Raw genomic sequence first — 25,620 nt, forward strand, 5'->3', positions numbered from 1 at the left:
GTTTTTCCATGTTGGCGAGGCTGGTTTTGAATTCCTGACCTCAGGTGATCTGCCCACCTCGGCCGCCCAAAGTGCTGGGATTACAGGCGTGAGCCACCGCGCCTGGCCAGTAGTTATCCTTCTTGTATTGTTATCTTCCCTAAATCAGCTTTCCACAAGAGTCCTCTGCTAGCTTTTGTGCTCCTCCTGTCTCTTTACAGTATTGGCAGTTAGTTTGCCCCAAGGTCCTCTGAGTTTTCTTTGAGGCTGAGCTATCTTTCTGTTCCCTGGCATTTCTGTCATCCTTCTTGAATTGCTCAATTGCGCTGTTCATTCCCCCTGCAGTCTCTTAAATGGCTCAAAATGGAGCACAGCTTCAAAGAGCACTCTGATATTTGTAGTCTTACATGTGATTTGTAACCTTGAAGGTTTCCCATGGAGGAATTTATATATCTGTGAGCAATGTTAGATTACAACATGTTCAAAAAGAACATTGCAGTAAACGTGTGAACGCCAAGACATGGGGGATGAGTAAATCCATGCAAAAGTAAATCAAATAAATTTGAGGTGAGAAAGAACAACAACAAAAATGAAGGACACAAGGTGGCATACTGTGAAGCAGTGATAAGAGATAAATGACAGCTGTAGTCAGGCTAGCAGGAAGTGATAAAGGTTGGGTGACTCAGTTTGAATGAATGAAAGCTGATGGTGATGGACAGATCGAGAGGAATTTTCCCACAAGTCAGGACAAGCCTCCACGTCAAATAATTATACATAAGCCCCTATTTAATTTGGCAATCAACATGAAAGCAATGAATAGTGATAGCCTTTCAGCTTAATTTAGGTGAGTGTAAGATAAGTGTTTTCGGTAACTGTGTATAAAAGTATCCAGGACAATAAAACAAGCTACAGCTTAAATCAAGTGGACAATCCTGGTCTTTTAGATTCAGCCTTTCATCATGATCCCTGTTGATGATGATGATGATGATGATACCAATAGTAGGTTATGATTGTTATATGACTGGGTTTGGATTCATTTATATAGGAAGTTCTTCATTCGCTCCTAACAGTGCTGATTTACTGTTTGTAAGAAACTTCTCGGCATTGAACTAGATGGAGAGCAGTAGGGAGCATTTGGCAGGTGTCTGCTCAACAACTGTTTCCTTTTTCGTACTCTTAGAAGTCCTTTTTTTTTTTTTTTTTTTTTTTTTTTTTTAACCTGCCAGTGTGTCCAGCCCCAGGGAATGATGTGATTGGCCCATGCCAATCATGGTTTCAGAAATTCCCTTTGACTATGATTGGCTCAGGGATGAGCATGTGACCCCAATCAATCTATTGAGACTTCAGCCACCGAGGGTTTCTGGGAAAAATGTTGCTCCCTGATTAAAGGGAGAAGGATGATGAGAAATGCATTTTGTCACTTTCCATTTCCTCCTGTTTGGATGTATTTGTGTGAAGACATGAAGTTCGCAGCCATGCCAGCCATTTTGTGCTTGTAAGGGAAGCTCCTGCCAGCCAACTGGGAAAACAGAGCAGAGATCACAAGAGCCCAGCCTTTGCTGACACCATGAGCTGCTGGAATCGCCTACCTCTGGATGTCTTGCTTTGTGAAATAAACACCTATCATTTGGACTGATTTTATTCAGTGATTTCCCTCCTCATAGTTAAAAGCATCCTACCTGACAGGAGAACTTTAATAATTTAACATTTGCTGCCACAAGCGTGAAAACAACCAGTGCATCCATTTGAGGTGTAAGCAGTGAGTTTGTCCCCATGTCCCCTGAGGTGAGTTGGCTTTCTGCTCCCCAGGACTATAATCATCTTAGTCATCTGATTTTGTGCACATGCATTACAGTTTTACAAATAAAGTCCCTGAAGAGAGAAACAAAACCAAATTAAAAGTTTGCTTAAGCAAATTGATCCTGTAAAATCCTTTTGGAGTAAAAGCTGATGAAATAAATGTGTCTCCAGTACTAGGGTGCTCAGGGCTGTTAAACAGGGCAAAAGTCCAAGAAAGGAAAAAGACCTTCCCACAAAAGAAGCACAGATGAGTAATTAGGGACTAGGGAAAGGAAGCTCAGACTGCAATTCCAAAGCTGTGCTTTTGTGCCAATAAGAGTGCTTTCGGAGCAATGAGGCAAGTTAATTTCCAGGCCACATTTTACAAACTGGCACCTCTTCAGTTTGCCGTAACCCCAAAACAAACAAAACCCCAAACAACCAACTACCACTTCCCACACAAAATAGAAAGACAAAACAAACCTTTGATGTGCACTTTCACTCGTCAGCTAAACATAATGCCACAGCAGTGTCCCGGATGGAAGTTACACCTGGGGTGGGAATTCTATGTCAAACGAAATACTTAACTCGTTAATTCAACAAACTAACTGCCAAGGGAGGGCAAGACACCACGCTAGGGGCTACATGGGATTCAAAGATAAGGCACCAAACTTTTGTTTTTGACATATGCAAATGCCACTCGAGCACAAAATGTAAGGTTGTAAGCTCTGCAAGAAAGATACAAGGTTATATGCTATAGAAGATGATAGATGAGAGAGATTCCATCCCACTCAAAGAATGAGAGATTGTTTCCTGGCAGTGTGGGCATTTGAAGTGAGCATTGAAGGGTGGGTAGTATTTGAACCTGGGAGAGTGGGAGAAAAAGGACACTCCAAAGCTGAATGAACACGTTGTTACAGAAGAATACTGTATCTTAGTTTAGCCAGGGCATGAAGACAATGTAATGGGGTTACAATGGGAAAAACAGAGAGAGCAAAAGAGTTGGGTAAGATTGTCATTCTATAGGCAATGGGGAGTCATGGAGTATTTAGGGGCAGGGCATGACATGTTCAAAGCTATGTGAAGGTTAAGCCAGCAGCAAAGAGTGGGTTGACCAAAGATGGGAGAGACAGAAGACCACATGGCCAGTTGAGAAGCTATTATGATATTTCAGATAAAATACAGAAAGTCCTTACTAGGATAGTGGAAATGAAAAGGAGTAGGAAGGTCAATCTGAAACCTGAATATGGAGTTAATAGAATGCAGCAAATGGCTAGAGCCAGGAGAGAAGTTTCACCCTGGCTTGCATCTGTAGTGTGAGTTTCTGAAAGAACAGGGTACCCTTCCAGACTAAAGATTTGTTTTCATTAAAATCAAACGGTTCTAGTGAATGTCTTTTCTGTTAAATAAGTTAACTGAAGCCCCTTGTGAGTCTAAAGTCTCCATCAGCCAAATCAACAGGCAGCTTTGGGGGATTCCTGGCCCCCTGCCTGTCTCTAGCAAGCTGTCATTGATGAGGCTAACAATGGTGCTGGTCTTGGCGACACTGGATATCTGTCCATGGAAACCAGGACTGAAACCAACAGGCCTGTTAACTTCCAATATACTTCATTATTAATCACATTGGGCTTTAATATTTGCTAAACTCATTTGAATGCAGTTTCATAAATAATGCCAAAGAGCCTGCAAGAAAGGGTGTGTGCATATGTGTGGTCACTAGGGGATAAAGTCCCAGCTCCTCAGTGTGGAGGACAAGGGACCCCTCAGGCCAGCACAAGAATGACAGCGTAAGCAATGAGAGTTCCAAGGGGAGGGAAGTGGTGCCATATTCTGGTCACCAGTGAGGTCTTGGTCACCAGGAAAGCATTTTTCCAGGGCTAGATTTTACTATCCTGGGTTTTAATCTTACTAAAGAAAATGGCTTTTCTGCACACAGGTCCATACAATCTGGGGCCTTGCTACTGGCCTGGTGTCATTTCCTGCCATCAGCCCATGAACACTCTAAATTCTGTCCCTGGGGAATTGAGCCTCAGAACTTGATATGCTGGCTCAGCGTCTCCACGCCTTGCATCTGTTGCTTCCTCTACCTGGAATGACCTCCCTTCCTCTGTTGCCTCAGAGGCCAGTGCCAACATTACCTTCTTAATACCCTACAGGGCCCCAAGCATGATCTTCAACGGTTACGCAGCACATACACCTAGGCTGTTATTAATTGTCACTGTTTCCTTATCTGCAGACAGCCTTTCCTCAGGGCTGGGGCCACCCGTTATTCATCTCTGGATCTCTGGCCCAGCCCAGAGATTGTACAGAGAAGGAAGGAAGGCAGCACATAATATTGCATGAAGAAATAAAATCTTTGAATTGGCTAATGTTCATCAACAGGTAGTAAGCTAGCATTTCACATGATGGATTTTCCTTCTCTTGACATACCTGTTCTAACATTTACAAACCCATGGCTCTTCTTATTAGAGGCTGACCTAGTTGACACATTCCCTGGCCTTCATCCAGCCCTTCTGCTCACTTAGATTCCTATGTGTGTTCTGATTCAGCCCTTTTGTTGGTAGGAAAAAGAAGCCACTCAAAGGAGATTTTAAAAAAAAGTTATTTTAAGGACATGGCTATTTTACAGCATCCAAGGGCAGGAAACAAATGAAAGCTGGCTCCCTGTGAACTAGAACCAGGCACTGGGAAGCTGTCTGTTTGCCCTTCGTCAGGTGTTTACTGAGTGATCATTGTACCTGGTGCTGTTCTAGAAGCTGAGTTGTCAGTGTGAAAAAAGACAGGCAAGTCCCCTAGGACTCACATTCTAGAGGGTGTGATCGCAGACAAGGGCAATACACATATGAGCATCATGACAGTGTCAGAAGATGGTAAATATTTTGAAAACGATAAAAGAGGGCAATGTGATAATGAGAAACTAAGTGCTATTTCAGGTTGGGTTGTCAGGAAAGTTCTCTTTGAGTAGGTGACATTTGAGTGGAAAGCTGAGAGCTGAGAGGCACAAGGGGGACAGTCTTGTGAGAAGCTGAGAGGAAAAGCATTCCAGGCTAGGGAAGGAACAGAAGGGCAGAGGGCCCAGAAAGGAATGTATGTGATGAGTTCCAAGACCAGAAAGAAAGAAAGGCTGCCCTTTGGGACTCATAGGAGCCACAAAGCTGTTGTCTCTGTTTCTCTCTCTCTCTCTCTTTATTTTATTTTATTTTTTTGAGACAGAGTTTCACCCTTGTTGCCCAGGCTGGAGTACAATGGCACGATCTTAGTACACTGCAACTTCCGCCTCCTGGGTTCAAGTGATTCTCCTGCCTCAGACTCCCGAGTAGCTGGGATTACAGGCATGTGCCACCACACTCGGCTAATTTTTGTATTTTTAGTAGAGAGGGGGTTTCACCATGTTGGTCAGGCTGGTCTCGAACTCCTGACCTCAGGTGATCCACCCACCTCGGCCTCTCTGTTTCTCTCTTTGCAGTTGCTTATCTTCCCCCTTCCCAGGGATCAGTATGGCAGTTAGTCTTACTCGTGTATCATGACATCTCAGCTATATCTACTTCTACCAACTGATCCCAGTCTCTTCTTTCAGGAATGATCATCAAATTGGCTCAGCCTTTCTCCCATAACAAAGAATCCTTCATGGAAGTCCAGAAACCTGCGAAGGATTCTTGGCGCTTTCCTCTCCCTTATGTCCTGGAGGAAGCCCCTTACCAAGTCCTCTCTGTTCTTCCTCCAAAATGCTTCTTTAGTGTTTTACCTCTCTCCATCTCCACCGCTACCCACCTTGGCCCCTGTCCCATCCACTATTGTCTCCTACCTAACCTCCTGAACTATTCTGCTCATGGGTCTCCTTGTCTTCATCTTGCTCCCCACAAATCCACTCTTCACAAAATAGAGTGGTCTTTAAACCATTAATCAGGGGGAAGGTCGCATTCAAGGTGGTGGTGCATTTTTGGGGTGGATTTCATAGACTCTACCTCCTTGTTGGGAAATCTGATACATCTCCAGGGAAATAGAAATGAGGTGTCTCTGATGGGAGGGTTTGGTTTTGTGAATGGTATGGAGGCAGAGGCCACCCCTTGAGCCTATTGTTTTGGGCCTGTCAGTTTGCTTTGGTTAATGTGGCCTTAATCTCGTGCCATTTCTAATAACTTGCTTTTCCTCTCCCTCAGCCTCCCTACTTCCTTTGCTGACTGCTTATCTGTTATTGGCCATTGACTAATATTGTGTTGATCTGGTTCTGCTCACTAGAATAGGTTCTTCCTAGGAGCCACATCTACAAATGTTAAAATCTTCCCTGAGCTCCCTGTCAAGGGTTACTTGATTTAGCAAATAATAATACAGGATGCCCAGTTAGATTTGAATTTCAGATAAACACAAAGAATAGATGGTTTAGTGTCCTTATGTTCCAAATATTGCATGAATTTTCTTTCATCTGGCAACTCTACTCTCCCCCTTTCTAGATCCACCCCACCCCAGTGAGCAGAGCTTGTTCCAGATTTTCACTCTGGCCTAATCTGCCACATCTGGCTGCAGTTAACAAGCCTGTGTCTGGGTATTTCCTGTGATCTGTACCTATCCAGCAAAGCAAGGTACACTCTCAGCTGGGCGGCCAGGTGTCAGTGGAAAATGCTGTGTTGCATCTTTCCCTTGACACATTGAGTACCTCATCCATGAAGAGCCTGTCTGGTCACAACACCCTTGGCTTGCCTTTGATGGTGTAGACTTCTTCATTTATAATGTTCAAAAGATCTAGTCACAAAGAGGGCCTTTAAAATAGTTTTACTGTTATAACGATGTGTACCATATACAAGTTTCCTTTGATAACGCTTCTAGTCTCTCACTCCAATAGTATTGCAACATTAGTCTCAAAGAGCCTTTGATCAATGAACTTTACTGAACGATCTAATTCTTTCCTGGAGATAAGAGCAGACCTCACCACCTTCATTTTATAGATGGGGAAACTAGAAACAAATCATTTCCATTCTGCTAAGAGCTAATTTGCAGCTGTGTCAGAGATCAGTAAGTGAGTAAACAGATAATGAAATTTAAAACAGATACTATTGGAACTAGTTCATATTCTGACACATTTTTGCCACTGAGATGAGATAAGCTGTGAGTATGGGCAAGGTGGGATGTGGAGGGGCCGTGAAAAGAGATGTCTCTACTTAATATTCCAAGAAAAGGAAATGATATCTTTACGCTAACTCTCTGAATACATTTTTCAAGATAGCCAAAAGTTAATTTATTTAAAACAAAATTTACTTAAAATCAAGTTAAAGTACATAAAAAGTTTACTTTAATCTTATCTTATCAATATCAAATTATACTTTCAGTTGAGATGTTATGTTGGATCTCTCTGTAGAGAGCTCTTGGCAGAGAACTGCAATGTATTAGTTGCTTTCTTTTCTTTTGCTAAAATTCGATGACCTACAGTTTTTTAACTCTGTGTTTCCATGCCGTTTTCCCCATTGTTAATAACACATATATATTTTTAAATGACCTATACAATAAACACAAGGGCATAAGAAATGATGAATAAGACAGTGCTTCTCAATCCCATTTACTTTTGGCTATATTTTCCAAGATTTTCAGAGGATACACTTCTTTAATCAGTGGCAACTACTGATGTGCCAGATAGCTTGGTGGTTAAATGTATCACCACTATCAATTATTGACAAAATTTTTCACAATACTTGGTTTAGTAGCAAGGATATTTCAAAATTTATCTTATCTTTGTGGAATGGATTGAAGAGAGAAGATAGCCTCCTTCACTTCTATAAGCAATTATGGGACTGTTTGGCATTGATAAGAAAGCTGGGTGTCCTTTAATTTCTTTATTGCTAAAGCCAGTAGGGTAGACCATAGTCTTTGTAAACCAAGGCATCATACACAGAACTAATTTCAAGTTGGGTAGAATTCTTGTCATTTGGCTGAATCTTTAATTTCTCGAAGAGATTCACTATGATTAAGGAATTGAGAAGGGTAATTGGGCACCCCTTGGAGCCTTTGAAACAAATTTGATTTAAACTCCCCACTATGGACACAGGTTGTTGAATTCAAGGGATCAACATATCTCCTTGGAACAAGGATGTTCAAACCACTTAGGAGCAGTGTATAAAAAAGTACATTTTCTCTACTTACAGGCATATCTTAGTCAATATTTGCCTTTTAGAGCAGATGTGCCCAGTGCCTTAAAGGGGGGCCATTGGGAAGACAGGAAATTGTGAGTTCTGGGTTTCTGGCTTCTATAGACTCAGCTGAGATGTATTTTCTTTTTCAACCCTTCTAAATGGCTGGGCCTGGGATTTTCCCAGTCAAATTCAAAAGCTAGCCATGAAGAAAACTAATTTTAAGACATAAACAAGTATTTTAACATAACATCTAAGACATAAACAAGTATTTTTAAATGTGTCTTGAATGTATTCGTATCACCTCATTAAACAATGTCAGAACATGGCCAGAAGCCAGGAGTTGAAGGAGCCGTTGCTTAATGAGATAGTAATGAGCAAACATCGAAGCTTGCATTTTCCTTCTGCTTGTTCCAAAATGCATGACTTAGCGGGATAAGATATTTGAGCTCCAGCTCTTAAATAATTTTAAGATATTTCTTAGGATAGTTGCTTTTCCTTTTAGTGTTTGATTGTGTCAAGAAGTAAAGGTTAAGAAATGTTATTTTCCCCTTTATTGAAGCCGTAGGGTGTAGTGGTTAGTAGAGTAGTAATTCTGCTACTAAATAACTGTGTGACCTTGGACACAGTGTGCAATAAATGCCAGTTATGATTATGACGTATAATTGAGGAAAAAATAAGGATTTGAATAGACAAATTTCAAGTTAGGGAATAGGAAAATTTTTATACAAATGCTTTAGTAGGGATGTATTATTTACTTTAAATATTAGAAATTTGACTACAATAAATTGACTTTAAACCACTTGATAACATTTGCTGCATTTTGTTAAACCAAAAAAATTTAATATTTATCAAAATGAAATTATTATAGGTGCTGATCTTGTTATTGAAATTTCTGGTTTATTTTACTAACTTGAATCAAAATATCTCTTTAATTTTGATAACTTTATAGTCAGTTCAAGGGTAAAAAGAATGAACTTTTGATGACTCAGTTACAGTTCCAATCAGACCATTTAAAGGAAAATGAGAGATTTATCTCTATATATAGATGAAAGATTTATATATACATATATAGACTAACTTGAATTGAAGGTTAGTAGAGTAAGTGAGAGAGCTGGCCAGGCACAGTGGCTCACGCCTGTAATCCCAGCACTTTGGGAGGCCGAGGTGGGCAGATCATGAGGTCAGGAGATTGAGACCATCCTGGCTAACATGGTGAAATCCCATTTCTACTAAAAATACAAAAAATTAGCCGGACGTGGTGGTGGGCGCCTGTAGTCCCAGCTACTCGGGAGGCTGAGGCAGGAGAATGGCGTGAACTTGGGAGGAGGAGCTTGCAGTGAGTGGAGATTGTGCCACTGCACTCCAGCCTGGGCAACAGAGTGAGACTCCGTCTCAAAAAAAAAAAAAAAGTGAGAGAACCAACAAAGTATAATAATAAAAGTAATAATAGTTAACATTTATTCAGCATTGTAGACAATCAAGCATCTAATTTTTACAACTCAAGGAGGTAAGTATTATTATAATCCCTATTTTATAGGTAAGGAAACTGAGGAACAGATGTATTAAATTGCTTGCTGAGGTCATGTAGTTGATAAACAGAGCTGAGATTCAGGTCCAGGTAATCTGACTTTAGTGTCTGTGCTAAAATCTTTCTAAAATATAAAAGCATAAGCTAATGCTTGCATATAATAGGATTCTAATAAGTTGAAATTATTTAACAGAAATTGCCATACTGTGGCATCTTTATGAGTTGGGGAGCATTAATAAGGTAATTACATTTTAACTAAAAGTTAAGAAGAATAGCTAACTTTAGATTTCTTAATGATATTTTGCTATAAACACTAATTCTAAAACAGAGCTGTCCAAAATGTCACATATATAATTTATAATTTTCTAATAATCATGTTAAAAAAGTGGAAAGGAACAAAAGTTAATGATTTTAATAACATCTTTTATTTAACTCAATAAATTCAAAATATATTTTAACATGTAACCAATATAAACATTATTAATAAGATATTATTTTTTTAAAGTTATTGTTCCAAGTCTTTGAAATCTGGTGTGTATTTTGCACTTACTGAACATACCAATTCAGTAGCTAATTCATATGTGGCTAGCAGTTACTGAATTAGACTGTGCAGCTCTAGATCTTTTTAGGAAAGCAAATTCATTATTTTAACCTCATTTCAAAAATGGTGAGAATAAGAAAGACTAGTCATGTATCCACACATTAATTTTTAAGCTTTAGTATCTTCAGTTTCAGTTTAGCTAAACAGACTAAAAGCTGCCACTTAACCTATTCAAATGATATCCCCTGGTAAGTAAGGTGGCACATTTTAAGATGGTTTCCTGACAAGTCTTTTAATTTTCTCCAAGAGGCAGAATGGAAGCAGACCTTAAGATAAAGCTAAACCTCTTTTGGAAAAATGAATGTCTGGAAGAATGTCTCACAGAATAACGCAGGACCAGGTCACTAAGCAATGCTCTAAGTGGGGACACAACGTGGACTTTTCCAAGCCTTCAGCTGAGGGCAGGGATGGCCAAGTCAATGGTCCCTCCCTGTTCTGTATTCAGTTTTTGATCAGGCAGTAATGTGCATGCAGGTCAACAAACATTTATTAAAGCTTTTTGTTTTTGCTTCTTCATTGATAAATTACTAATAAATGCTCATTTGAAAAAGCCAAACAAACCAAATATGTGTACTAAATTGTACATCGTAAGAGGTAACTGTCCCTTCAATTTTTTTTGTAGTTAACAGGTTACCACTTCTAGCAATTAGGTAGGCATTCTTATAGACCTTTATCCCTATGTTTTTGTTCTGTTCCTATATATCCAGTTTTTTTGTACAGAATGGGATCACCCACACATACGGTTCTGAGCCCCCCTTTTCCATTTAATAAGAAATCAATATCTATGAATTTTATATATTTTATTCTTATTAATGGATGCATAGTATTACATGGTATGAAGTGCCACATTATTTAACCATATCACTATTGATGGGCATATAAGTTGTTTCAAACATTTACTATTACAAAACTTCTGCAATGCATATCCTTTTATATCTATCATTACACATTTGTGTGTTTCTGTATGACAGATCTCTAGAATTGAGATAGCTGGGAGAAATGTATGTGCATTTTGAATTCTGGCAGGTATTGCCAAATGCTTAATGGCCTGCCAAAAAGACCTTGTCTTTTGACTTCATCTGGAATATTATTGACTTCATTCAGAATATTCCCATTACAAGAAAGTGGCCAGTCTCTCCGAGGAACAAACTGTTTTCCTTTTCCACCATGAAATAGATCTTATCTTTTCATTAGTTAATATAGGTGTACCTTCAAATGGCAATAACATTGTTCTGCTTTGTGGCTTCTCAAGTAGTAAACCCAGAAAACATCAGCTACCGTGGATTTTATTATAAATCATTGACATTCCTTTGGTGATTCACAAATGCCAAAAAATAAATGTCATGTTCCCCAGGGTTTGAAGAAAGACACTGTAGCTTTTGGATTCAGCAACGGATCTTTCAAGAAAACAGTATGGAGGGATGACTCACTCCCCCCATGGAGGCTGCCCTCTAGTTCGTCCTTTAGAGGAAGCATGACCAAGGGTCTGCTGGTACTTTTCTCTCCCTCTCTAAGAATTTCCTCAGGAGAGGAAAAAGTTAGCTTTCTTTTCTCTGCTCCTGAGTGCCATGGCCTGCAGTACGTGACCAGTCCTTGGCACAGAGTCACTCAGGGCTCATGGTAGATGCTTAGCGGTCACAGCCAGTAGCTGCGCAGTGTGGCAGCAGCTGAGATCCATACTGCAGCCTGAAAGTTGTGTTTCAGCTTCTGAGGTTACAAGTGTATCCAGTGTTTACATCAGAGATAAAGCCCCCTTTCCCCTCTCTCCTACGGGAGCCCTCAACAAGACAGATACACGGGTTGGGTGGAGTGAGACCACATCCAGCAGAGGCAAAGCTTGCTAAAAGAGAGAGGAGGAGGAGGGGGAGAGGGAGGAGGCGGCACGGCGTCCCTTGGCAGCTCCGTGCATGCTGCGGCAGTTGCAACAGGAGAACCGAGTACCAGTTGCTCAACACTTTATCACTTTGCATTGCTCTTTCTCCTCCCTTAAGTGAATTTCCATTTTGAGGGTACAGCTCCACAGGAGAAAGGTGTGGTGGTGGTAGTGGTGGAGGGTGTCTGTGGGGGGGATGGTGGTGCGACGGGAGTTGGAATGTCCAGTGTGGGGAAGCAAAGGAGTGCCTACTAGGATGCGAATACCACTTGGCCCTGGGCTCGCTCCGCTTTAGCCTTCCCCTCTCGCTGGGGAGAAACAGGCGGTTTGTGAGGGAGACTGAGAGAGGGGCGTGTTTGTGGTGGTGGCGGCCCATCGGGGGTCCTTGTCCTCTCCGAATACCCGGACTGCTGAGGGGAAGGGCCGGGGGGGCCCCGGCGGTTGCCATGGTGACGCAGGGTCGGCGGCTCAGCGCCGTAGAGACAAAGCCGCCCGCCCGCCAGCCCGCTAGCTCCTCGCGCGAGCTCCTCCTCCACGGGAACCTCCCTCCCCTCCCAGGCGCCGCCGCAGCCGGAGCGGCTCCCGGGCCCTGGGCCGCCGCCGGCCAGGTAAGGCGATCGCGCCCGCGGCCGGGGAGGGGTCGGCGGGACGCCGGGCCTCCCCAACGCTGGGGCAGCAGCCAGCCCCGCAGTCCTGGACGGCGCCGGGCCGCCCAAGCGCGCCGAGGAGAGGGGGCGGCAAACTTCGGGCCGAGCGGCGCCGGGGCCCGCGCGCGGAGTCTCCCTCCGGGCACCACGGGGGCCGCCGTCCTGGCACCAACTTGAGGGGCTGTGCGGCGGAGGGCGGCTGCGGAGCGCCCGCGCGGGCTGCACCTGCTCAGGGAGCTGCCCCTCTGTTGTTGTTGTTATTTTCCTTCTTGGCGTGCCATCGAGGCTTTTGGGGGAAAAAAAGGTATGAAAGTATTTACCTTTGGACTTTCATGTTTCATGGCATTCTCTTTGAGGAGGGGTTGGGAGGGTAGTAAGAGGGACAAGCGAAAGATTTTTACGAATCTCTGAAAAGTGAGCCCATTTTTATGCCTGTGGCTGAAGCATTTTGAGGAGGCTTCTGAAGTTCGTTTGGATATTGAATCGAAAGACCTTTTTTTCTTTGGAAGGTGCAGTTGCACCTATAACTGGATGGTAAGGGTAGCCCGGCTTTCCCCGACTAGCAAGACCAGAATGTAGAGCAGTACCGATACTTTGTCAAGGAGATACTTGGCACCGAGGTCATTGCTTTTGTTTCTAGAAGGTATTGTGTTCATGCTGTAAGGAACTGGAAAGTGCCTTTTGTTTTTATGTGTAGGGAGGCAATCCAAAGCACCTCTGGAGGCAGGTAGCTGGGCGGTGTTTGCATCGGTGTTTATGAGTGGGATGATGAGGACCACGATGCGGTTGCCACTGGGGCACTGGATAGGTTATAGGTACCTTTCTCAGTGGCCCCAACCCTTGCAATCATTTCGTGATAGTTTGTTGCAGACGCGAAGCACAGATTTAAATTGTGACTGTGAAGACTTTTTTTTTTGGTACTTAGACATCATCTTACATGTAGTAATATGAAAGAAAACAGATACATTTTCAGAAATACAGTTGATCAATTCAGAAGGAAATTGTATATATGTTAATAAGATTTGTTTTAAATCATATTTAAACAATATGAGATGTCATATTGATAACTGGAAAATAATCTAACATATAAAATTGTATATCCAACTTAGTAAAATAATGTATAAGTTGGAATAGGTCATTTAAAGAACTATATGGAATGCAAGAAATTATATTTTTGCTAGAGAGTAATTAATGAAAACAGTACCACTGATCATTTTGAATTGCAGTTAAGTTGATTGGAATTCTGCATATTACAGCTACTTGAGGTGTCAGGCAAAGAGTGATTATTTAATATTCCTCTTCCCTCTTTTGGGATTTCAACACCTGTTAGCCTGCTGATTACTAGGTTTCTCAGTCTGTTCATATTTGCCAGCAACTTCAAGTAATGCCACTTCATTAGAAGATTGTATTGGAAACTAAAGGATTGAAGTTGCAATTAACAGTTTGCAGGTTATTTCACAATTGGGCTTGTTTTTAAACTGAATTTTACCTGTGGAAGATTCACAGATGCTCTGCTAAATACTCTTTCATGACGGTAATAAAATCGTACATTGATTAAAACGAAGTAGATCTGTTTTGAGAAGATAAACGGGAGAGAAAAGTATTTTCTCACTTAAGCATGAACAGCAAATAGGATATTGAAGCCTAGGCACATTATATAGACAGAGAATGTAGTTTTATGTTTTGTACTAAAAATAAATTATTTTGTGTGTTTGTGTGTGTGTGTGTGTTTTTTTTTTTTTCCTGAGGGACCAACAGAACAGCTTTATTCAGATCTTTGTTAGCAAAACCAGTATTCAAGTTCAAGGACTTGGTCCGTGCTTTCTGCCAGATGAAACCCACACTGTGAGTTCTAGCCTAAACATTTATGTTGTGGCCCTTAATCTGAGTGCTGAAGAACGGAGATATCCATGGTGAATTTAGCACAGTAAGGACCGGTGCTTTGCCTTTGCTGCTAGCTCACACGGGCACAACATTCAATATAGTTTGGCTTCTTCAGAGCTGCATCATTTTCTGCCAAAAAATAAAGTCGGTATACAGAAATCAACAATCATGTATTGCATGCACTGCTTGGTTGTAGTGGCTTATTAATAAGAGCTCCGAAGCATGAAATGAAGCTTGTGTCAGTGCAGTGGAAAACAATAATCTGGCATGTTTATATGTGTTACTAGTGTTCTGAGGTATGTGCATAACCAGATAATGAAAGAAAAAATACTATGATATCTGCAATATGTCCTTAGAAAATGCAAACAGCAATTGTGTTTTCTGTCCATGGTTTAGCCACCTGGTGGAAGCAGGCAACAGCATTGCATATCCCCAGGTGTAAAATACTAGTCATCACTCTTGCTGATTCACGGGAGTAGGAGTCTTTTCCTGCATTTTAGCTTACGGGTTTTAATTTTATGACGTAAAATTGGTCCTAATTTTTGGTATAAGCTGTAAAATATGGCCTGATAATTGTCACCATAGCTGTATTCTACCTGAAAGAATTCTGTAATTCAGTTTATGAAGCATATCCAAAGACAAAAAAAAGCCACAAATGTTCCTGTTTAAGTTAGGATTAACATTATGTTTGTGCCATTGAAAGTCAGTTGTTTGTAACCATATAAGCCTGCATAGGCAGCCTAAATAAAGCCACTGAAGCCTTTATTGACTGTTTCTGGGTCAACATTCTCTTGCAATTTCTAGTTGCACTGTGATAACATGATTACTGGTTGGTAATTTAGCATCTAGTGCAATGTGTTGTAGCATTTATAAAAGCACATTTGTGAAGGATGGTAGTTTTTAAATGATTTCTTCATTACCAAAACACTTAGATTTAGATTTGTGGCTGGGGAGAATAGTGTGGCCCTGAGACCTCAAGACAAAATGCTGTAAATATCAGGTATTGTTAACTGACCTGCTGTGCACAGTGGGTATTTGTCAGAACTACTGTGCTGAGAAAAGGCACAGGAGACACATGGTCATGGTGATAGGTTGTGGTGTTTAGTGACATGGATTATTAATAGTGATTGATAGAAGCTGAAAAACTTTTGTGGACGTGTGTTTCATTTTTCATGTTTTCAATTAAAATGGAGATAAGATGTCTTAAGCTGTTTGGTAAGCCACAAGTGCTTGGGGAAAATGTATACTTTTATACAGTATTGTACATAATTTAAGTGATATAAACATAGTTCAAGATAAACGATTGTTTTCCTGATGTGCCAATTTTTTGTAGCAGTTATGGAGTATGGTTTTGGACATCAGTCATCAAATGTTTATCAAATGCTTCCTTCTATATATTCTATGTTGCTTGATGAAAGTCAACCAACCTCTTATAGTTGGGGACTTACTTGTTTCTCAGCTATTAGGATTATTTATTTTATATGTAATTCTTAATGTATGATACCCAAATACTCTCCTTTGTTTTCAGCCTTCCTTTTTTCAAAAGTTACCAGTTAATTTTGTAATGTTTTTTTAAAAAGTTTTATATTTCCAGAGCTTATTTTAAAAATGATTTGGTTAATTTGTAATTTGATCAGAAAATAGTGGGCATAAAAAACACATTATAATCTTTATATTTTGCATTTTGAGTATTTATAGACATGGTTTGTTGGATAGTAGAATCTGGGATCCTGTTAGGTGATTGCTTATTTCCATACATGTTTTGAACTTGATCCTTGCTTCTGTATCTTATAATCGGTTGAAGTGAAAACCAAAGAACTAGGAGGTAGAGGCAGCAGTGAGTTAAAAGGTGTTAAAGAGATCAATACATACTGAGAGTCTGCTGGCATAGTGGCCAAAGGTGGTGCAGGGGTGGGGGTGCGGTGGTGGTGGTTGGGAGGGCAGGGTCAGGGAGTCTGGGGCAGGAAGCTGGGGGACAGTGATGGCTCTAATAATCTCTTTTAACACTTTATGGTCCAGACTCTAAAGCAGATTACCTGAGGTCTTTACCTAGTGACCATTTCCAGAGGCTGGCTAGTCCTACAAAAGAGTTGCTGGTGCTGGTCCTGGTCACTTGCCTCCATTTTTCCTCCCAATTAACTAAAACGTGACTCTCTTGAATTGTGGTTTAAGTGCACTTTAAGCATTGTAAACCACAAATTAAGGCCCAATAATAAAATTTTTCCACATGAGAAATGTTATCTAATTGGTCAGGTACATGATTTAGATAATCAAGATGGCAATGGAACTATAAAATAAAACTGTGTGTTTGGCCAACATATTGTATTTGAGTGAGAAGTTGTGTTTCTGATCAGTCTGTTGTGAATCATCTTCCCTCTTCTATAGCTATAGTCATTCAAGGCAGACATGGTGTTTTACATAATTTGATCACCATGTGATGTGTTGGGCACAGTTATACTGAAGAATTGTTGTTTATTCAAACTCTTGAATTTTAAATCTACAATAAAAGGTTTCTGTGTGGTCTTCTCTGGCCTTTTTTCTTCCTGTATATTGGTTTACTGAGAACTTGTTTAGTCTGATTGCAGTAATTTTGACTTCCAGCTCTTCTCTGTCAATCAAACCTTTATGAATTCTTCCCTATGGGCCAGACACTTTTCTAAGCACTTCAGAAATATCAACTCATTTAATCCTCACAACAACCCTTTGAAGTAGGTACTATTATCCCTTTTTTATGAGTGAGGAAACTAATATGATCACTTTCTGTTACGTTAACCCAAAGGTACACAAAATATACCAGAATCCTGGCTTTATGTCAAGGAATGCAGCAAGCTTTATTTTCTGTTTACTGATATCTACTAAGTGTAGAAATAATGACACTAATTATTATGCTTGGGCTTTCCTCCCCCATCTTATTTTCTCTTTTTGCTAAAAAGAAACAAAACCTAAAGTCATAAAACAAGAAGCATTTCTTCATAGCATATTGTGACATGTACCAGTATTCTTTTCTGTACATAGAAACTAGAATAATTTATGAAAAAGATGTTTTCCAAAGGTAGTTGTTCCTTAATTTATTATTCGTATTCATATATTAAAAGAATATAGTCAGCCTTGCATATCTGCAGGTTCCACATCTGCAGATTCTATCAATTATGGATTGGAAATATTTGGAAAAATATTTGGAAAATATTCCAAAAAATAATTCAAATAAGAAACCCAGTCTAAGAACTATTTACATGGTATTTACATTGTATTAGGTATTATAAGCAATCTACAGATGATTTAAAGTACATGGCAGGATGTACATAGGTTATATGCAAATACTATGCCATGTTATACCAGGGACTTGAGCATCCTCAGATTTTGGTATCCTTGGGGGTCCTGGAGCCAGCCCCCCTGCAGATATTGAGGGGTGACTACATATTTTCTGTGGTATTGGCCTTGCTATATACATGTAAATCTATCTTGGAAATGTTGATCCATTTGCATTGCCTCACGGGGTTATCCTCAACCTGGGCTCACCTGCTCTTTCCTAGGCTACCTCTTACATGTGCTAAGGACTAAGTGATACTCCCTTCTCACTCCCTCCCAGTAGAACTCTGCATGTCCCTCCTCTGAAATAACACATGTTCTTACTGTCTCCATAGAAGAATGATTAAGCATTTTAATTTCAGGAGCTTATTTAAGCTATGTGAAAAGTAGGACTAAATAAGAGACAGGTGTTCATAAAAGCAAGTGAGTAAACATAGTTCTGTAGGTTCTTTTAATAGTAAATATTGTAATAACTACCATTTATTAAGCATTTACTTGGTGCCAGGTACGCTATTAAGTATTCCACACAAGCTGTCTCTTTTGATTGTCACCATAATTCTTGTTTCCTCATCTATAAAAGGCTAATAAATAGCTTATCCAAGATTGTACAGAGTTGGTAGATTTAAAAACATGATTTGTGTGGATAAACCACAATCTGAATTTGACTATGATTGCTTTGTTAATTACCAGCAGACAAAAAATGCCTTTCTGCTGCAGTGAAGATGCTTTTGGGATTATGTTACTTTGGAAAGAGTGGCAGTTGAGGACTGCCTGGTGGAGCAAATTCAGAGTGGCAGGTATGGCTGGCTGAGAAGGAGGAGGTAGTTCTCAGGAGGTAGCCAAGAAAAAGACATCGTTGTTCACAGTTATTGCTGCAGACCTCAGATGGGCTTTTAGAGTAGAAAGAGACAGAGAACCCCTATCCTCAAGTCTATTTTTGGAACAAAAACCAAAATTAAATGGAGTTATTTTCTGTCTCCTGAATTTGTGTTTTGTTTTATACTGTGTTCTGGATTGGAAATGAACAAGGACAAGGGCTACATGAGTGGTATAGGATGAAATGAAATGAAAAGTAACTCAATAAATGTCATATCCCCCAGGCTAAATTCCCTCAGGGTCAGAGCAACATGCTTTTTGCTACAGTGGGAGATTTCCTTGTTTTAGGATGCCGAAGGTCTGGAGTGTGGTATCAGGGATGAAGTTAGAAGTTTGGAAAGATGTTTTCATTTGGGTCATTCTCCTGCATGACATGGGGTTTTCCTGGAATTCCTGGTGCATACTTTCCTTGATAACTCCTGGGGGGGAAAAAGGAATGAGACTTAGAATCTGAATAGTAAGGAATAAACCCACTTTTATGATCATCTAATTATATAGATCACTGTGACCTTTTTTTCTCTTTTTTTTTTAATGTTCAAGGCCAGTATGAGAAGCCAGACAGCCTGGATTTGAATACTGCCTCTGCCACCTTTTAGTGATACGACCTTGAGGTAGCTGCTTAATCTCTCTGTGCCTTCATTTCGTTACTGCAATGGACAGCATGCTCATGTCCCCTCCAAATTCATATGTTGAAATTCTAACTCCCAAGGTGATGGTATTAGGAGGTAGGGCCTTTGGGAGGTGATTAGGCCATGAGGGTGGAGCCCTCATAAATAGTATTAGTGCCCTTATAAAAGAGACCCCAGAGAGGTCATTGGCCCCTTCTGCCATGTGAGAACACGGTGATAAGGCACCATCTGTGAACCAATAAGTGGTCTTTGACCAGATACCTAATCTGCCAGCACCTTAATCTTGGACTTCCCAGTTCCCAGAACAGTGATGAAGAAATTTCTGTTGTTTATAAGCCATTCAGCATATGGTATTTTGTTAGAGCAATCTGAGCAGACTAAGACAATTACCTGTAAAGTGGAGACAATAATATTACTTCACTTGGTGATTGTGAGGATTAAATGAATTAACATTTCTAATGTACTTAATTATTAGTTATTAAGGGTAAGTTTTGTGTGGAGAAAGGAAAATTAATATTTATTTCAGGTAGAAACAAAAATCTAATTTTCTTTAGGCCTTTAAGTTCAACTTGCATATGTTAATACTCTGTTTATATATCTGGTAAATATGAGCAATCATCTTCACTTTTTCTTTGACTAAACTTTAATTCAAATTGAACAGATTGGATTTCTTAAATTATCAGTCTCATTTATGAACTTAGTTAAATTTCAAACCTTAAATATTTTAAATCGCATGTTACTTTAATGTATTTATTTTTCTATTTAGATAAATCATATGTTTATTGGGCAAATTTATGACTCAAGTAAGTAAAACCTTACCAAATACTTAGGTTAAGTTCCTTTGAATATTTTGTCACTTACAAAATTAATATTGTATAGACATAGTCAAATACTCCTAAACATTTCAATCAAAATAAATCATATCTGAAATCTATTACACATTTTGAACTAGAATCACAAAGCTCATCTGTCAGTTTGATGTCAGATTCTTTTAAACGTTAAAAACATGACAATTGTGTACAGGCTGTTCCAATTAATATAAGACATATTTCTAAACTTTTCTAAAAAGTAATAATACAAGTCTGATTTTCCTCATCTCTATATTTAATTCTAAACCTTCTCTGGATTGGAGTTAGTTACCCACTAGAAGGAAGTTTATAATCTCAGATAAACTGAAGGTACCATTCTAGGTGAACTTTAGTTATCTTACCATCCCATATTGATTTGAAATTGCTGTCCGAGCATTTTTTAATTAAAATATGGTTGCTTATTGATCACCCATTTAAGGCTTGAATGCTGCATCTGGATGGCACACATTCTGGAGAATTCTTCCTATGACACAGATGGACAGGCTTGGCCCTCCTGTGTAGTCATCATAACAATAGGAGACTCCAAACCCTTCTTTTCAGGTAGTATTGATTTTTTAATCCTTAGACCAGTGCTGTCCAATATGTACTTTTAAGTTATGGGTTATATTAAAAAGTAAGAATTGGCCAGGTGCGTGTCTCACACCTGGAGGCCGAAGCAGGAAGATCACTTGAGGCCAGGAGTTCAAGACCAGCTTGGGCAACATAGTGAGATCCCACCTCTACAAAAAATGCAAAAATTAGCTGGGCATGGTGGTACGCACGTGTAGTCCCAGCTGCTCCAAAGGCTGAGGTAGGATGAGGCAGGAGGATGCTTGAGCTCAGGAGTTCAGGTTTCCATGAGCCATGATTATTCCACTGCACTCCAGTATGGAGTGAGACTGTGCCCCTTAAAAAAAAAGAAAAAGTAAAAAGTAATTATTTTTAGTAGTAGATTTTATTTAACCTAATATATCAAAATTACCATAATTTCAACATGTAATCAATATAAAAATTATTAATGAGATTTTAAACATTTTCATTTTGCACAAACTATTTCGAATCTGATATGCATTTTACACTTAGAGAACATCTCAATTTGGAGGATATATTTTCAGCAGTTAAAGTGAGGCCAGGCATGGTGGCTTATGCCTGTAATCCCAGCGCTTTGGAAGGCTGAGGTGGACAGGTCACCTGAGGTCGGTAGTTCGAGACCAACCTGGCCAATGTGGTGAAACCCCGTCTCCACTAAAAATACAAAAATTAGCTAGGCCTGGTGGCATGCGCCTGTAGTCCCAGCTACTCGGGAAGCTGAGGCAGGAGAATCGCTTGAACCTGGGAGGCAGTGGTTGCAGTGAGCCAAGATTGCACCACTGCACTCCAGCCTGGGCAACAGGGGAAGACTCGGTCTCAAAAACAGGAAAAAAAATTAAAAAAAAGAAATGTGGCCTTACCAAAAAAGTAATGTTGTATTTGCAGGAAAAGTATTTTTCATTGTTTCAGTTTCTAAATTTAAATTAATTGAAATTAAATATGATGTAGATTTCAGCTTCTTAGTTGCACCAGCCACATTTCAAGTGCTCAATAGCCAAACATGACTAGTGGCTGCCATGTTGAATAGTGTAGTCCTAGACTTGATTCAGAGTCACTCCTCACCCTGTCTCTTATTGTTATGGAGTCTCCTGTTGTTATGATGACTATACAGGAGGGCCAAGCCTGTCTATGTCAGCTTTAGGCCGTGCCCACCAGTGTTTGAGATATCTCCTTTCATTCTGTTGGATTCTTCATTTCCGTCGCTCACAGTTACGTTAGTTGTTTTAATGACATCTGCTGGGTTTGAAAGGCATTTTAATGTAATTTCATTAGATCCAAATATTCTATACCTTCGCCTATTTTTCTGAGTGACTTCTCCAACAATGTTTTTTTGATTTGTTTACAACAGTTGTAATAGTTCCAAAGGTGGTGCAGTGAGGTAAGCTTATGCCATCTCTGTTTTGTCATAGGTAGTTTGCCATTTAGATAGGATTATGAAGACTGAACTGTGATCCACGCATGAGCTCTTAATGCTGGCTGGCAGCTCCATTCCTTTTTTCTAGTTTGTTCATTATTCTCCTGTCCTGGACAAACAAAATCCAAATAAATAAACAAGAATATTAGCAGAGATAAATAAAATTGAGATAATTAATGCAAATGAGTGGATGAGTACCTTAGATTAAAGGGTAAGGTAACATTTAAATAGGGATTTGAGTGACGAGAAGATTTGATCAAGAGCAGAGCATTTCAGACAGAATCAGTGCAAAGGCCCTGAGGCAGAGAGAGAAGACAGGAGAGTCAGATGAAATGCGGTTAGAAAGAAAAGGGGTGGCCAGATTGCTCCAGACTTTGTTATTCAGTGTAAGGACTTGGGTTTTATTCTATGTGGAATAGGAAGCCATTCTAGGACTTTGTGTAGAGATGGTCTGGGAAAGATGGGAGTAATTTGGTTAACATTTTAGAAATATTCTTCCATGTAGAGAATGGATGTACATGGAAGATGCAAGGGGGCAAGATTGGTAGCAGGGAGACTTGTTAGGAGCCAATGTCAATAGTCCAGGTGAGAGATGGTGTATTTACCACAGTTCTAATTTTACATTTATTTATGTGATCGATTGATACCATCGTCACTAGACTGTAAGCTCCAACAGGGCAGAAACAATGTCTTTTTTTTTTCTTTTTGCCTAAAGTTGTAATCCCTGTGTTGTATTCCCAGATGTAGTCCCCGTATGTTGACTTAACTGTCAATTCAGCATTTTCCATATTTCACACACACAAGATATGTGTGTGTATCATGACCAAATAAATTATTGTAGCTGGCAGGAAAGTATTCCTAAAGTCAGAATATCAAGGCCTTTATTCATATATGCAGATTAGAGTTGGAAGTCCTTCACTCTGATTCTGACAGTGGAATGACTTACAAGCTACATATTAATAAGTAGAAGATGTTTTCACAGGAAGTCAGAACATTTGATGATCCAAAAAGATAGCACATTAGTTATAACCACAGGATGTCACTGAAATTGTTGAAATTGTTATGATCTCTTAATCATGATAATGTATGGATAGAAGTTACTCAGCAATGTATCTTACATTGAATACATACTACAAAAGATGTTTAAAAATAAGACATCTTACTATGATTCATTTGAGATAGACATCACTTATTATAATGGGGCATTAGAAATGGGCTATGCTATTGATACAGTTTGATGAGTGTATTAGTCCATTCTCACATTGCTATAAGGAACTACTTGAGAGTGGGTAATTTATGAAGAAAAGAGATTTAATTGACTCACAGTTCTGCAGGCTGTACAGGAAGCATGGTTGGGGAGGCCTCAGGAAACTTAACAATCATGGCACAAGGCCAAGGGAAAAGAGGCACATCTTACATGGCCAGAGCAGGAAGGAGGAAGAGAGATGGGAGAGGTGGCACACACTTTCAAAGAACCAGATCTCCTGAGAATTCTGTCGCGAGATAGCACTATGGGGATTGTGCTAAACCATTAGAAACTGCCCCTTGATCTAATCACCTACCACCAGGCCCCGCCTCCAACATTGGGAATTACAATTCAACATGAGATTTGGGTGGGGACACAGAGCCAAACCATATCAGTAAGGAACTAGCATCATAAAAAATTTAATGTTTTCCCTTTCCCTATCTGTACAGACAATGATGGAAGAGTTAGAAATCCTTAAAGAGCTTTATGTCAACAATTGGACACATAATTAGGAGAAGCTTAAAGCATTTTAGAACTCAGGATAATATCTCTACTGAGATTCAATTATTCTTTGGTCTGCAGTAAATTTACATGGTCGTGGTTGATTGGTCTATAAATATAAATTTTTCTTTCACAGGCAGTTTAAAAAGGGGAACATTTAGACAGCTCTTGTAAAAATCTCACATTGTAGAGTGGGAAATTTCTTAAGTAACACTGTGCTAGGCACTAATGACTCAAAGATGAACAAATCAGGTATAGCCCTACCCTCCTGAGGCTAACAGAAGAAATTACAGATAAGTGTCTGGTCATTACACAAGTGTGTGCCATGATGGGGCATATGTGTGATGCCTGTGGAGTCTGTAGGAGAGGCATCCAAGCAAGATTTGGGATTTGGGAATAATTGATGTCTATACTGGATGAAGGATGTCCCAGGAAAGCAGGCAAATATGGGACAGTTTGGGGTGGTAAGTGTGGGTAAAAGAGCTATAAAGAGGGAACAGGGCATCATAAAAGCTTAGAATCCATTTGAAATAATGTGGCTTCTTTTGGAGAGTAAAAAGAATTGGGGAGGGGGTGGAGTGAGGTCGAGGAGGAGAAAGGAGTAAGAGATGTGGCTGGTGAGGTAGACAGAGGCCAGATTAGGAAGACGTTAAAATATGTTGAGCAGGAGAGTAAATGATCAGATTTGAGTTTTAGAAAGTCTCTCATGGTGTTGCATATAGACTTTTCACAATCACATTACTTGTTTTGTGTTGTATGTATCTTGTATAGACATAGGAAGCATTACTTTTATTTTTAAATACATTTGTTATTGAAGGTTAACATACATATAGAAAAGTGCACGAATCGTAAGGATATATAGCTTTTATGCATTTTCAAGTGAGTCTCCTGTGTAACTACTACTCACATCAAAAAATAGAAGATTACTATTACCCCCAAATCCTTCCTTTGCCTTTTTCAGTTATTACCTGCCCCCAAAGGTGACCCATAGTCTGAATTCTAACACTGTTGATTAGTTTTGCCCAGTTTAGAACTTTATACAAATGGAATCAGGCAGTGTGTACTTTATGTGTGTGTGTATGATAGCTTTCACCAACTATTTGGGATATTCATCCTTGCTGCTGGATGTAGTAATAGTTTGTTTTTTGTCTCTCTCATTTTGGTATAGTATTTCATTGCTGCCTGTAGCACAATTTTTAAAATCATTTACTGTTCATAGACATTTGGGTTGTTCCCATTTCACCTATTACAAATAGTGCTGCTATAAACATTCTTATACATGTGTATGTGAGCATTTCTGTTGTGCATCTGTGTAGAAGTAGAAAGGTCATGGGTTATATGTATGATTTAGCTGTGATACTGCTATCAAACATTTGCCAAACAGTTGTCCAGGTGGTTATATCGGCGACATTCTCAACATCAGTGTATGAAAGTTCTAGTTGTTTCTCATTCTTGCTCATAGTTGGTATTGCCAGTCATAGTAGCAGATGAAAAATGATATCTCATTGTAGTTTTTATTTGTACTTTCCTAATAAGTGATATTGAGCATTTTTTCATGTTTTATTAGCCATTTGGATAGCCTCTTCCATGAAATGCCAGTTCAAATATTTTTGTCCATTAAAAAAGATTATCTTTTTCTTACTGTTTTTTTTTTTTTTTTTTTTTTTGAGACAGAGTTTCTGTCGTCGCCCAGGCTGGAGTGCAGTCTCCGCTCACTGCAAACTCCGCCTACCGGGTTCACGCCATTCTCCTGCCTCGGTCTCTGCGTAACTGGGACTACAGGCGCCCGCCAC

General features: G+C 39.8%; 1 protein-coding gene across 7 annotated transcripts in view, besides 2 other annotated features; it reads left to right on the plus strand.

Moving 5' to 3' along the window:
• Window positions 432-793: a transcriptional cis regulatory region, noted in NCBI's record as "candidate enhancer chr6.697 targeted for multiplex CRISPR interference". NCBI's record gives its function as "positively regulates RNF182 gene expression with high confidence in K562 cells {active_cell/tissue: K562}" and the evidence as "EXISTENCE:mutant phenotype evidence [ECO:0000015][PMID:30612741]".
• Window positions 11,314-11,814: an enhancer, noted in NCBI's record as "H3K27ac hESC enhancer chr6:13924078-13924578 (GRCh37/hg19 assembly coordinates)". NCBI's record gives its function as "activates a minimal SCP1, AML or CMV promoter by ChIP-STARR-seq in naive H9 embryonic stem cells {active_cell/tissue: H9 hESC(naive)}" and the evidence as "EXISTENCE:reporter gene assay evidence [ECO:0000049][PMID:30033119]".
• The window catches only part of RNF182 (ring finger protein 182), a 55,865-nt gene continuing 42,157 nt past the window's right edge, over window positions 11,913-25,620 (plus strand). For 3 of the 7 annotated variants that reach the window (NM_001165032.2, NM_152737.4, XM_017010450.3), the window contains exon 1: window positions 12,419-12,490. The gene's annotated coding sequence lies outside the window, so the exon portion shown is untranslated. Of the gene's footprint in view, window positions 12,040-12,418; window positions 12,491-12,571; window positions 12,834-25,620 lie in introns of those variants that run through there. The other 4 variants (XM_047418370.1, XM_047418371.1, NM_001165033.2 and 1 more) reach the window with 2 other exon arrangements.

The sequence above is a fragment of the Homo sapiens genome, chromosome 6 (genome assembly GCF_000001405.40).
Source record: "Homo sapiens chromosome 6, GRCh38.p14 Primary Assembly".
Classification (NCBI taxonomy): Eukaryota; Metazoa; Chordata; class Mammalia; order Primates; family Hominidae; genus Homo; species Homo sapiens.